We start from the raw sequence: 13966 nt of genomic DNA on the forward strand, positions 1-13966 counted from the left end.
CTAGCCGAATCCTTTAGTCCCAATATCCCCTCTTTTCACTGCCCTGACTTCCCTCTCAGGTGAGGTTCAGGAAGATGGTTATCTAGAGGGCACAGGTTCTGGGTTCAAATTACTTGGGTGCAAACATGAAATCCACTACTCTGAGGCTGGGCCTCAACTTATCTGCAAAACGAGGATGATTCGTATCTCAGAGAGTTGAAGATTAAGCAGCTTTAAGTAAACTTCTAAACACTTGATCCGGACACAATAAATGGGGCTACCAGAACTATCTTTCCAGCATTCCCACCTGCAAATGCCTTAGGCGTCTCTGAGAATTTGGTCTCTGAGACCTTCCAGAGCATCCATAACTTAAACCCTGCTCTGCTGTCGTTCAGGACGTCTCAATAGTAAATGAACCTGCTGGCTCCCAATCCAGCCAAACCAGGAGATAGGCTGAGGCTTCAGACTGCCTCGCAGATGCTCCATGGCACTTGACGGCAAGAGCTAAAAAGAGGTGATTTAAAACAAGATTTCCTCGGACTTAAAGCTTAAGTACCGGGTTGCGACCCTACTCTCCGCAGGACATAAGCGGAGGGGCGCGGCCCTAAGGCACACGCCGGAGGGGCGTGGTCATGGGCACCCGCCGGAGGGGCGTGGTCATGGGCACCCGCGCGCGCCCAGGGGCGTGTCCTTTTCAGCACCCACCGAGGCGCCAGCCCCCTGACGCGCTGCGTGGAATCCAAATCCCACGGCCGGTGTCGTTACTCTGCGCATGTGTAGCTGCTGGGGGCTGGCCGGAGGAAAGCAGAATTTCAGGGAAAGAACGATCGGGACGGGGAGGACGGGGAGGGCGGGGCAGAAGACGGAAGAGTTGAAATCAGCTGACTGGGTCTCGTGACAGCCTGGGCGGTGGCGACGCAGGCGTATTAGAGCGCGCTCGCTCAAAGCCTGAGCGAAGATGGCGGCCTCCAGAGTGAAACTCTGAGAGGCAGAGGGAGGAGGCGGAGGGGGCGGGGAGGCAGCGCCGCGGCGGCACCAGGAACCCGCGGCAGCGGAGCTGCAGGGCCCCGGCGGGGGAAAGGGGAAGTGGTGAGGGTGAGGAGGCCGGAGGGCGCCTCATCCCACTCTGGAAGCTGAGCCGGCGGCGGGAGGAGCTAGGGCTGGAGCCTCTCCAGCCTCCCGCGAAGGTAAAGCCGACTCCGGGCACTGGGCTCTGGGGCTCTGCCTTACTCCCTTCCCACGCCGTGGGGACTTTGTGGGGCTCAGGGCAGGGAAAACGGGGTGGTCTTGGCTGCTGCAGCCTGCAGCTGCTAAGGAAGCAGATTACCCTTCCCCCAGGCTGCTGGTCTGGTTCCTTTCGTTGGACGCCCCCCCGGCTTTGAGTGACATTAGCTCAGGGCGCTGCCCTGTCCAGCCCCACCCCTTTTTTTTGCTTGTTTTATACCTAGTACGCTCCTCCACTCGCCTTAACATATCCTTACCCCACAGGCTCTTCATTCCCTTGTGGGTTCCGCCCTCGGGATTCCCTTCCAGTCTCCTAGTCTGAGCACCCTTCCTGCTGGATGCCGGCAACTCTTGTTTCCTTGGGTCAGCGACCCTCCTTCCGAACAAGTCCTGCAGACTGACTTTCTTTGCTTTGTTTCGTTTTGTTAGGAAATGAGCATCCGCGTCGTCTGTTCTCCAGTACTTTTTCTAAAATCATTTTCTCCCCTAAGGCTTTTCCTTCCTGCAAGGCAGCTTATTCACGTGGCCTTTCCTCCGCTGCTGTGATTTTATCTTTGAATGTGGCCTTTGGAGTGGGTAAAGTAGGACTTAGACGCTCAGTGAAGTGGCTGTTAATCACTTGATACTTAACTATGTTTAAGAGTGCCTTCCCTTAAATTTTCTCCTTTTGTAGCGTGTTCCGTTAACCACGTTTGTCTTAAGATTGTTTCCTGTGTCCGTTGCTTAGAGGGGGGAAAAAAGTAAAGATTTCACCCTAATGTGGCGGTGGTCTCCCAAAGTAATTATTTCTCATTTTCCCTCTGCTTTTCCCTTTTACGTTATTCTGATTTCCCTCAAAAAGGAGGTTCTGTACCTGATGCTGTTGCGTCCTCTATGAAGGGCTTTATAGTGTACAGTTATGTTGAGCCTTTTGTAATACAGTGTCTTGGGGAAAAAAGTAGAAGTTCAGAACCTGCCCCCAGTAATTCTTTCTTACTATATTTTCTTTCTCAGTTTATGGACTTGATAGGTTTCTAGGTTTGAAACTACTGCCTGCAGGGAAAATTACAGTGATAAGGTTTTATAATATATTACCAGTACTTTGAGTTTATGGGAGTATGAAACAGAATTTGCCTTAAAAAAATAAATTTATAGAAACCACTTGTCAGAAATTCGGTATCCAGAACACAGTTCTTTGATTTTTGGAAAGTACTTTATTGGCTTATCTATCATATAACGTAAAACCTTGTTCACATTTTGTGTAATGTGAAACGCTTTTTAAGCTACTATATCTCAGACTTGGCTTGTGCTGTTAGTATCACAATGCATTCAGGCAACACACGTCCTTGTGTAGAAATTATTACATTATACTCCTTGTTTGAAAACAGGAAGTAGAACATATTAAGGGAGGAAAAGAGGAGTCAGAGGATTATTAAGAAATAAGAATGTAAAGAACCTTAAGGCTAGAGTTCAGTTCATGGAAAATATCAGCATTTGTATTCCACTGAGAGGCAATGAATATTCCTCTTTTTCTAAAGTGGTAGTAATAAATAGTCTAAAATATATTAATGTTATATATTGTTAACAAGCTTAGTTGTAAACAAAATACTTAAGCTAAAAAATAAAATATTAATAAGTGAATGAATTGTTTGGAATAATTTAACTTTATCCACAAATAAATAGAAGATGGTTGCCTTGCCCAGGTGGACTGTAACAATACTGGCTTTATTAAATTTGTTAAAAGGTTGATAGTGGAGTCCGGTTCTCAATAGGTCCCAAATTAGGGTTGAAATTGAAAAGATGTGTTTTAACTAATTTGGCTTCATTCCTCAACCAGTTCTGTTTACACAGGTGAATATGAGGTTTCTGCTACACATACCTTTCCCCTGCTTCTGATTGAGGTACTTTAAATTAGTAATTGAAACAAGGCTGTGCAGATAAACTGCAGCACAAATTTGGTTGCTACAAATAGGTTTTGGCCTAAATGTTCACTGTAAAACATGGCAGTAGTTAAAGGGGAGTTATTAATATTTTGAAAGAGTTCCTTGAGTCAGTGTTTCTCAACTTTATTAGACCCAATAAAGGCTCCCTTTTTATAAAAAATAATTAGTAACACCTTCTTTGCTATCTTTAGTTTATAAATAATGTAACTACCTCTGGCTTTGGCCCTGAGACAAAAAAAGAAGCTTTGCTCTCACTTCTGCAACAAAAAAAGACCTACACTACAAATTCATGACTTTTTTGAAATCTATTAAAGAGCTGAGTCCACAGAGCAAAACCACTGGCTGAAAATTTGAGAGACAGTGCTTACAGAGAGTAGATGTCAATTTCTGTTTACCGTCTTCAGACACAACTGGACAAAAAGCATGATGAAAGCTGAATGCACAATCTTGCAAACTCTTATCCACAAACCTCCCTGGGTCTACTAGAAAAGACTGGAAAGAACCCTGGGTGAGTCTGCTGTGCAGATTGAGAGGGAGAGGAACAGCAACAGAACTTTTAAGAGGGTCAAGAAACTGCTGTGATTCTTCCCCTCTGCCTCTTCTATGGAAAAAAGCTTTAATCTCTGGGGAGAAGGGTATCTCTGTTGGCCCCATTGGTGAACATTCAGGGGGTAGATGAGAAGTGGGAGAGAATCTTATGCCTGGAGGAGGGGCCCTGAGCCCAAAACTGCAGTCGGGAGTGGTCAACAGAACCGAGAGTGCTGCCCTCCTGAGATTCAGGAACACAGTGTTTGACTTAGACTTAATCAGAACATCAGACTGTATCCCCCACCCCCAACCCCCTGCCACCAAGCTAAGAAGCTTTCAGTAACAAGTAACCCACAAAATACTACTAGGAAAGGAACAAGATTATGCAAAGAGGCACAACACAAAGAATCAAACAGGCATTGCTCTAGTAAACCATCGCCCACCAGAGAGACAAACTGTTCTGCAGATTCATGAAGGCTGTAATACACTGAGGATAACTATGGCAAAAACAAATCATAAACTAAGTCCAACTCCTAACCAGATTAACACAAACCCTTCACCAAAGGCCTCACAAAGAACAGGCGTGCTCATTTCCAGTCATAAAAATTACCTCAATCTCTACTCCTACACAACATGTCCAGCTTTTAACCAAAAATTATGAGGCCCATGAAAAAAACTCCCAAGAGAAAGAGCAGTCATCATTATACATTTTTTAAAAAGATAGGAGCTTAAAAAGAACTGTTTTGTACATGTTAAATACTATAATAATGACATTTTGCCTTGAAAAAGTTTGAGCAAACAATGCAGTGAGCATTGGATGGAGTTATAGTTTCTGAATTACTGTGAAGTAGTAGAAGGAAAAAAAGTTATAAGATGGAGTGGAAAATTAGTAACATATATGTGAATGTATGTGGTTCATTGACCACCTGAAGTGTGTGTGTGTATTTTGTGAATTCCTGCATGACTCAGTTGGGTACAATTTTCTGCGTTCACTTAGTGTTGGGACAGAATCACTATAAGCAAATGTGACATTTTCATTATGCTCAAATTGTTCAGTAATACACCAATCCTGTTAAAATTCACATGATCAAGAAAGCATTATAGCAGAATTGACTATATGCATTTCAATATGTAAATAGTTAAGTATGATTATACCAAAATACACAAAGGACGTGTCAGAGGCTTGTATCTTTACATGGAATCATTTTGAGATTTTTTTTGTGTGTGTGAGAGACAATCTTGCTCTGTCACCCAGGCTGGAGTGCAGTGGCACGATCTTGGCTCACTGCAACCTCTGCCTCAGCCTCCTGAGTAGCTGGGACTACAGGCGCTTGCCACCATGCTGGGCTGATTTTTTTTTTTTTCTGTATTTTTAGGAGACAGAGTTTCACCATGTTGCCCAGGCTGGTCTCGAACTCCTGACCTCAAGTGATCCACCCACCCAGGCCTCCCAAAGTGCTGGGATTACAGGTGTGAGCCACCATGCCTGGCCCATTTTGATTTTTGACAGAAATGTTGATGTCTACAGATTTGTCACATTGGTGACTCAAATACCACAATTGAGATTATTAGCATTGTCAGAAAAGAACAGGGTTAATAAAGTATAATCTCTTAATTTACATTGCAGCCACATTCCTGGAAAAATCTCTGTATATTAAACCCTGCAAAATGTACTTGGTGAGTTATATATAAAACAATTAGAGTCTGGGATTCATTCATTATAAATAGGTTTTTGCCTACATGACTAACCAACTAAGCATTTGGACTTCTGGACTTTTTTCTTTTTCCTTTTTTTTTTTCTTTTTTCAGACCTCACTCTGTTGCCCAGGCTGGAATGCAGTGACACGATCATAGCTCACTGTAGCCCTGATCTCCTGGGCTCAAGCGATCCTCCCACCTTAGCCTCCTTAGTATCTGGAGCCATAGGCACGCCATGCCCAGCTAACTTTTTTTTATTATTATTATTTTTAGTAGAGACGAGGTCTCACTATGTTGCCCAGGCTAGTCTCAAACTCCTGAGCTCAAGCAATCCTCCCACCTCAGCCTCTCAGAATGCTGGGATTACAGGTGTGAGCCACCATACCTGGCTCACTTGGACACTTGAAAGTCGTATGGTGTGGATGGTACTTATCTTTGGGACTGTAATGTATGTTGAATATCTAGTCTCATCCACTAAATGCTAGTAGTGCTCCCAGTCATAGTGCCTCAGATGGGATGGCATCCTAGCCCAACCATTACTTTAGTTCAAAATTTTAATCAGTGGTTTTCAACATATTTTTTCTGTTTCAGCAGTGTTCACATACCCAGCATATGCCAATTTATAACACTTCTTGTTATGTGGAGTGATTCTTAATCATAGGAACTCCTTTGAGAGTAACTGAGTTAGATTTCTTTGTAACAAATAGTTTAAACCAACATGGTTATGATCATCTTTGCTAATTTAAGATAGTTACCTGTGCAAAGGTACATTTAGGTGTGGTTCAGTCAATAAAACCATATAGCTTGCTAGTAATTCTTTTCAGATGCTCTTTATTCAATAGTCGACATATGGGAGTTTTACTTGTACTTTCATGGACTACTTGTGAAAAAGAGTGAGCTTTAAAGTCAGTGGAATTTTACAGTTTAAGCACTCAAGTTGCCCTTAGAAGAACACTGCCTAGTCACATATTTAGCACATGCCCAGTGGTAATATCTCTTTGCAATGGATTAATAAGAGTTTGATATTTTGATTATCAGATAGAAAACAAAACCCCTAAAGCAATCCAGAATTATTTTAGCTGGGTGCACAATAATCACACGTGTAATCCCAGCACTTGGAAGGCTGAGGCGGGAGGATCACTCGAGGCCAGGAGCTCCAACCTAGCTTGAGCAACCCCGTCTCATCAAAAAATGAAATAACTAGCTGGCTGTGGTGACGTGTGCTCGGGAGGCTGAGGCAGGAGGATTGCTTGAACCCAGGAGACTGAGATTACAGTGAGCTATGATTGTGTTGCTGCGTTTCAGTCTGGGTGACAAAGGAAGACCCTGTCTCTTAAAAAAAATTATTTCGACGCTTTGATTTTTGCCAGCTCTAGTTGCCACAACTTAATGGAAGGGTTGGTGAGGTTATGAATGGAGGAGATGTTCTCTAATATTTCATGTATTCTGTAATACATTTAAACGCTTATACATGGTGTTCTCACTTTTATTGTATTCCTTAGTCATCTAAGGCTATGGGGTTTCTCTCCTCAAACTTCTAGTCAAGCTACAGAATGTATTTTGAATGTTTATCAAATCTTAGAGCAGATAAGCCATTTTCCCCCCAAATCTTAGCACTAATGGGCTTAATTTTAAAAGTGAAACTTTGCTTTTTTAAGATAATTTGGTAGTGTTCTATAAACTGTAAAGCGCCACAGAAGAGGTAGGAATAATAGGGATATTTCAGAACTAAACTAGAAATGTATGTTTTTGCTATTTTGTATTGAGTGAAGGGGAAATTGTAGCAAATTAAACTTTTGTCTTTTAATAGTATAAAAAGAACAGTGTTTGGGTTTTCAGGATGCTTTCTGTAAAACTGTCTTCAAGTTGTATGTGTTAAAAGCTTAGGAAATTTAGTCCCGCATTATGCATTTACTGTAATGATAGGAAAAACAGCAACAAGTTAAAATATGGCTGCTAAAAATTTCTTTTGCCCATTTCAGGGCCTGTTTACCATAGTAGAGCATGATTATTAAGTGCCTTAATAAGCTGATAAGCTTAATAAGTTGATAAGCTGAAGACCTTACAGAAATAGTATAGTTTGTTCTTGCATAAGCCAGGTTATGCTTCAAAGATAAAATGAAATAGAAATTAGGTCTATAAAGTTACAATAATGTGTATAAACTAAAAATATGTAAATGATCAATAGCAATGATTTCAAAGCATTGCTTAAGTGAACATGTTTCTGGAAAGAAAGCTTTCAGGTGAGTATTTTAAGGCATTTTTAAGCTTTGGAAAGGGAAGGGTCATAGTAATACATCTTTCACAGAAAATTTGAATTTTTTTAACAACAGATAAACTTCTGTTTTGTCAGAAATACAAATTATTCCCCTCAGATGAAATGAGCATACATGTGATAGAAATAGAAGAGACAGGTCTCTTTTCAATACTTGATTTATACTGTTGAATAGAAGAGGTCAAAAAAAGTAACTGCTATGGTAAGTATGCTTGTCCCCTCCTCCCATTAAGTGTTTCTTCAGATTTAGGGGTTGCTTTTGAATTTTTCTTGCCCTGTATTTCATTAATATATACTCAGTTTGTAATAGAAAGGAATCAAGTTTTTAAAAACAATGGTGGAGATCTCATATTATTTCAGCTACCCTATGGTAGTGAAACTAGTTAAAAGTTGATTATGATGTGACAGTACAATCACTTCACTTTAAAATATCTGGGCAATTATTTGAAGATATGATTATCAGATGAAATTTGATATTACCGCTGGCTTTTTTTATTCTTCAACGACATCTATCTCTGGAGGTATCGGGTTCTTCAGTAAGTTAAGGAAGGCTAAGATGGTAGGTACTAAAATCTTTGTGATGTATTTATGGTTTGTTTTAAGATTCCTGTTGGTATCATACATATTACACATACTGATTTGTTGTTCATTTAGAAGAAAATGCTTTTACCTGTACTTGAGTCATATATTAAAATGAAGCTAAAATTTAAAAATAGGGTTAAAGTTCATATGGCAGTTTCCCCCATACACAGCACATTCTATCTAAACAGTTTAGTTGTAGCTATTTAATCTGGGTAAAAATGAACATTCTGTTAGCCATTCATATTTTTTACCATTTGTTTGAAACCAAACTAATCTAGTGCTATGATTTACTCAGATTTTGAATCCAGTTACAAACAAACCTAGATCCTCAAGAAGCCAATATAAGATATTCTATCTATTACTCTTATTAGTTATTTTTTCAAAGGGTTAGTCTTTCCATGGTTCTCCTTACTACCCCTCCCTTTTTGGTAAGATATAGCTGTAGGAAGTATTACGTTCATAAATTAGTTCCTATGATGTGAATGTCTGCTACATTTTAAGTGTGGTTTTGGAATGTAGCATTGTTTCTGTTGTAGGAGAGTTTGATCAGAAAAGGCAAACTCCACAATTTTCACCCAACATATTGTAAACATTTTCACCTACAGCCAGGTTGAAAGAACTTTACATTAGATACCCACATGCCCACCTAAAGGTTTTTACATTAACATTTTACTGTACTTGCTTTATCACAGATCTGTCCATCTTTCCATCAATCCATCTTATTTTTTATGCATTTCAAAACAAATTCACATTTTTAGTTATTGAGGGCAGAGCTAATGAAAGTAAGTTCCGTTCTTGCATTTTACAGACTCAAAATGGGAAAATCAGTAGCTTACCTGTTCTCTGCAAGTTGTCATATTTGTGTAAAAATTACTTCCAGTTGATGATGCTAAATACGTGCTTTAAACAGGTGACTAGCCTGATTAATGCCAATCCTTCTTTCACTAGTGTATTTTTTTCTAAGTGTATTCATTCATCCCTAGTTAAATGAGTGTTCTGCTTGTGTTTTTGCTTAACACAAGCCATGTGTATATACTTAATTTTGCTGTGTGTGTAAATTTTTTTGCTTATAGCTTGACCGTAATTGGCTTGAGTGTCTGTGGTGTTGAGTCCCTTCATCTTGCTTTTGTTCTTAGTGTCAACTTGATGTAGGCTTCTTCTCACTGGACTCCCAAATCCTGTGGTTTTCTGTCAAAATTATGTGTCTTCTAAAAGATCATTCTCATTTTAACCATAAATGATCTTAAATGGTTTGCCAGTATTACTGCCAGTAATAAATTAGAGAATGCAAGAATATTGTGTTGTTCGAAAGCATGATGCAGTAGTATTCATTGAGAGAGGTGAATCTAGCCAAAATGCCTGTGTTGCCCTGAATTTGACTTTTTAACCCATAGGACAGTTCTATAAAAAGAACAAACAGAAGTTTCTTTGGTGGTGTAATTTAGGATATAGCATGAAAACAAGTGAAGCTGACTCGCAAAAATTGGAGATGCTTTCAATGCAATTTAATTACAAAAGGCATGTAAATTTGATTTTTCCTCATCAGAAAGAATCATGGGTCTTTGAGAATTTGAAATATGGAACACAATTGCAGGAATGAAGGAGATGAAATTTAAGTGACGTTAGTTTGAGCAGATAAATTCCTGCTATTTCGAATAGCCTCTAAACAACTGGCAGAATGGCAAATGCTAGTGATACAGCTGCTACCAAGATCTCATTCAAGATCCCATTTAACTGTTTACATTTTTTAGTTGGACAGTTTGTGGTTGTTGATAGCATGTGCTTATATTTGACTGTTACTGATATTACCTGCTTGATACTTGAGCTTCTGATACTAGAAATTTTACAGATTTTTTTCATCATAAATAGTGGAAATCAATGGTTGCTTAAGAGTTTTTGCCTATAAGTGATGATTTTTTTGAATCACTTTTAGAGCTTATTAATGTACAGAGGAAATATTGACTGCAGATTAAATTTATTTTGTGAAGTTTTTTTTTTCTTGAAAGTTTCTCAAGCCATAGTTAATTTGTAGCCATCAAACATAAATTTAAAAATATTAGGTTGGATACATGTAAGGAAACAGTTCTAACAACTGAAATTTCAAATACCTAAGTGGGGAATATTAAAAATGTAGTAAATAAGATTGACTTGTAATAGTATTTTGTAGGAATAAAGTTGAAATAAAAGACAAGCTTAAGTGTTGGGTTATAGTTGACAAGATGATTTTTAAAAATTTCATCTATCCTGATTATCTTGGTGTTTATATATACATATGTGTGTGTGTGTGTGTGTGTGTGTGTGCACGTGTGTGTGTGTGTATATATATATATATTTTTTTTTTTTTTTTGAGACAGGGTCTGACTCTGTCTCCCAGGCTCGAGTGCAGTGGCAAGATGAGGGCTCGCTCACTGCAGCCTCAGCCTCCCAGGCTCAAGTGGTCCTCTGACCTCAGCCCCCCAAGTAGCTGGGACTATAGGCCTGTGCCATGACACCCAGCTAATTTTTTGTATTTTTAGTAGAGACAGGGTTTTGCCATGTTGCCTGGGCTGGTCTTGAACTCCTGGACTCAAGCGATCTGCCTGCATTGGCCTCCCAAAGTGCTGGGACTACAGGCGTGAGCCATCGCACCCGGCAATATTTTTTTCTTTTTAAAAACGTTTTATGGGAAACATAAATTGTAACAATAAAATAATAATGACAGTAACAATAATAAATGGCATCCTCATGTACATCATTCAGTTTAAGAAATATATATTGTTATAGTTATTTTTGAATGGTTAAGTAAAAGTGAATGCTGATTAAATCAATAGAACACTGTACTTTTGAAGGTGAACATTCTAGGTGATATCTATTGCATACTAGAGGGATTGAAATTAATAAAAGATTTAGAGAAAATCAAGTAATTTAATAGAATTTCCCCCCAAAATGCTGTATTAGGTACAAGAGCTGGTAAGTTCTTGAAAATAAGATATAGTAGAATTACCCAAAATAACTTCTTTTTTTGGGTTATCTCATTTAGTCCTCACCATAGCCCTTCGGGACAGTTATTCCTATTTTATAGACGTACTATAATTCAGATAAATTCAGAAACTTTTGTTCAAAGTCACGCAGCCAGTAAATGGCAGTTATAAAAATTCTCCAGCTTTATCTTGGTAATAAATAGATTATTAACATCATTTTAATGGAATGTTAATGTAGCCTGTTGTGCTAGTCTCTAGTTAACGTATAGCATGTGGAATGGCAGCTCTGTGATCAGTGCCCTAGGGAGGTATTCCAGGGTCTTCCCAGATTGAATGATTCCTGACTACTGTACTTGGAGGACCTCTAGACTTGTCTTCACTCATTTGCCAATTATTATCTTGAAATTATTCTACCTCTCACTTTGAATGATACATAGTTGGTACATTTTCTGATCTTTGTGCATTGCCATTACCTTCATTAGCGAGTTACGTGCGTGTCTAAAAGTATCTTCGTGGTCTAAAAGAGTTAATGCAGTTTCCAGACCACTTGCCATTCATTGGCTGAAATGACTTTATCAAACAATAGTTAAGATTTTACTGAGAATGTAAAATAGATTTACCTGAAAATGTGGATAGGCTAATATTACACTGCCGGGAAATAGATCTCAGCCTCAGATCTCATTTATCTGGTTATCTTATCTTTTTTTCATCTAAAATTTATATTTAAATAGAGATGGGGGTCTTGCCATGTTGCCCAGGCTGGTCTCAAACTTCTGGACTCAAGTGATCCTCCCACAGTAGCCTCCCAAAGTGCTAGGATTACAGGCATGAGACATGGTGCCTAGCCAATCTGGTTATTTTAAAAGCTCGATGTTGGTTAGAGTAATTGAACTCTCTTTAAAGAGTATCCTGAGATCATATATTGGTAACAAATTTTTGTCATTGTATGTTTGTTTTGAACACTTTGTCAAGAAATGTCCTACCTCCCCCCAGACGGAGTCCTGCTCTGTCAGCCCGGATGGAGCGCAGTGGTGCCATCTCGGCTCACTGCAACCTCTGCCTCCTGGATTCAAACAATTCTCCTGCCTCAGCCTCCCAAGTAGCTGGGATTACAGGCATTCTCCACCACGCCTGGCTAATTTTTGTATTTTTAGTAGAGACGGGGTTTCACCATGTTAGCCAGGCTGGTCTCAAACTCCTGACTTTGTAATTTGTCCACCTCGGCCTCCCAAAGTGCCAGGATTACAGGCGTGAGCTACGGCGCCCAGCCAAAAAATGTTTTTTAAGCTTATATAAAGAAGGAAATATTTTGAAAGTTTATTTATAGATGATAGAATATTTCAGCTTTGGAGACTTATTTTTATTTCTTTTGTCCTATGTTGAATATGGTAATTTGTTTTACTGCTTAAAATTGTAGATTTCAAAGTTATTTCTAACAAGTATCATCTGTCCAGATGAAGATAATAACCGAAACTAGTTCTGAATTATTCCAGGAATTTGCAGTCAAATGATACATCTGTAATTACATGGTCAGGGTGAAGTTTTTTTTTTTCCTTAAAGTTGAGGGAAGGTATTAAAGTTTAGGTTAAGAACCTAGGGTGTAGAAGTTAAGGAGGTTAGTCCAAAGTCTGGCCCAATCGCTTACCAGCTGTGTTACCTTAGAAAAGTGATTTATCAGTTTTCTTGTCAATAAAATGAGAGTCATACCTGTACTGCAGTGTTGTTATGGGGACAAAATGAAATAAATGCATGGTAAATGCATAGGCTGAACACCAACATGTGATGAGTATTCAATATAAGTTGTTTAATAATTTCAGGACATGTCATAAATTTTCAGATTAGAGTCACCTTGCTTCCCTACCTTTATTAAAGGCAGTCTTCAATGGAGTTTTAAAATGGAAAAGCATTATCCTGATTTCCATTTTGAGGTTAGGCAGATGGTAATATAGCATTGAATTATTCCACTATTTCTGGGGTTGACTTGGCTAGTTAGTGGGGTGTCTCTTCCCTCCCTTACCTCTCAGATATACCCTTACATAAATATAATGTAGTTGAAGACAGGCTTTTCAAATAGAGGAGCAATTTTCTTCCATAAAAAGCCCATTTTACTAGCCTTTTATTGGATGCAGAGTAAAACATCACTTGTTGCTTTCTTAAATATTAGAGACAGAAAATTATCAGGTGTGCAAATATTGGACATAGGAACTTGTACTGATGATATGAACTTCTGGAGAACTGAAGTACTACTACTTTCCTCCTACACTAGTTTTCTGTCAGCATTCTCATCTGCATCAGGAATACAATATTTATTCTAATAGGCCAGGTCATTGGTAGTTTACTTTTATCTTAATGTGTTATATCTTCTCATACTCCTTTTATCTGTCCTAAGGACTCTCTGGAGTCTGGTGCTTTCATCATCTTCAGGTTTATAGACCTTCAAAAGCCTTCTTGATGTAAAGTTATTTAATTCATGTCCCAAAAGGTCTGTTGGAGTTCTATAACCCCAAATCAGTGGTACCTATGAGGTCATTCTTTAGGTGTTTATTTTTTAAATTATTTAAAAAATTTATTTAATAATTCTTATATTTCTTTTGTTATTATGAGATTATTTTGTTCTTATTCCCCCCTATGGGTTTATTAGGGATCTTTATTCCTTCTGGGTCATGCCCCGTGTTTTTTATGGTTGTCGTTTTAAAATCTTTATTTTTCTCTGCCTTTCATTTTAATTTTTAGATCCTTAATTTTATCAACCAGTCTCCACTCAACACATTTTCTTGTTTCTCAGTTTTCCCAAGATA

The 13966-nt window shown here is 38.9% G+C and overlaps 1 protein-coding gene across 4 annotated transcripts in view, besides 5 other annotated features; it reads left to right on the forward strand.

Annotated features, from left to right (window-relative positions):
* Positions 598 to 697: a silencer, noted in NCBI's record as "silent region_14740". NCBI's record gives its function as "represses an Ori minimal core promoter by ATAC-STARR-seq in GM12878 lymphoblastoid cells {active_cell/tissue: GM12878}" and the evidence as "EXISTENCE:reporter gene assay evidence [ECO:0000049][PMID:35858748]".
* Positions 908 to 13966, forward strand: part of DNAJC13 (DnaJ heat shock protein family (Hsp40) member C13) — a 121531-nt gene continuing 108472 nt past the window's right edge. For 2 of the 4 annotated variants that reach the window (NM_001329126.2, NM_015268.4), the window contains exon 1: positions 908 to 1166. The gene's annotated coding sequence lies outside the window, so the exon portion shown is untranslated. Of the gene's footprint in view, positions 5124 to 13966 lie in introns of all 4 variants that reach the window. The other 2 variants (XM_047447819.1, XM_047447820.1) reach the window with 1 other exon arrangement.
* Positions 978 to 1117: a silencer, noted in NCBI's record as "silent region_14741". NCBI's record gives its function as "represses an Ori minimal core promoter by ATAC-STARR-seq in GM12878 lymphoblastoid cells {active_cell/tissue: GM12878}" and the evidence as "EXISTENCE:reporter gene assay evidence [ECO:0000049][PMID:35858748]".
* Positions 1148 to 1297: an enhancer, noted in NCBI's record as "active region_20537". NCBI's record gives its function as "activates an Ori minimal core promoter by ATAC-STARR-seq in GM12878 lymphoblastoid cells {active_cell/tissue: GM12878}" and the evidence as "EXISTENCE:reporter gene assay evidence [ECO:0000049][PMID:35858748]".
* Positions 1148 to 1772: a biological region, named in NCBI's record as "H3K27ac hESC enhancer GRCh37_chr3:132136675-132137210".
* Positions 1237 to 1772: an enhancer, noted in NCBI's record as "H3K27ac hESC enhancer chr3:132136675-132137210 (GRCh37/hg19 assembly coordinates)". NCBI's record gives its function as "activates a minimal SCP1, AML or CMV promoter by ChIP-STARR-seq in primed H9 embryonic stem cells {active_cell/tissue: H9 hESC(primed)}" and the evidence as "EXISTENCE:reporter gene assay evidence [ECO:0000049][PMID:30033119]".

The sequence above is a fragment of the Homo sapiens genome, chromosome 3, assembly GCF_000001405.40.
Source record: "Homo sapiens chromosome 3, GRCh38.p14 Primary Assembly".
In the NCBI taxonomy this organism is placed as follows: domain Eukaryota; kingdom Metazoa; phylum Chordata; class Mammalia; order Primates; family Hominidae; genus Homo; species Homo sapiens.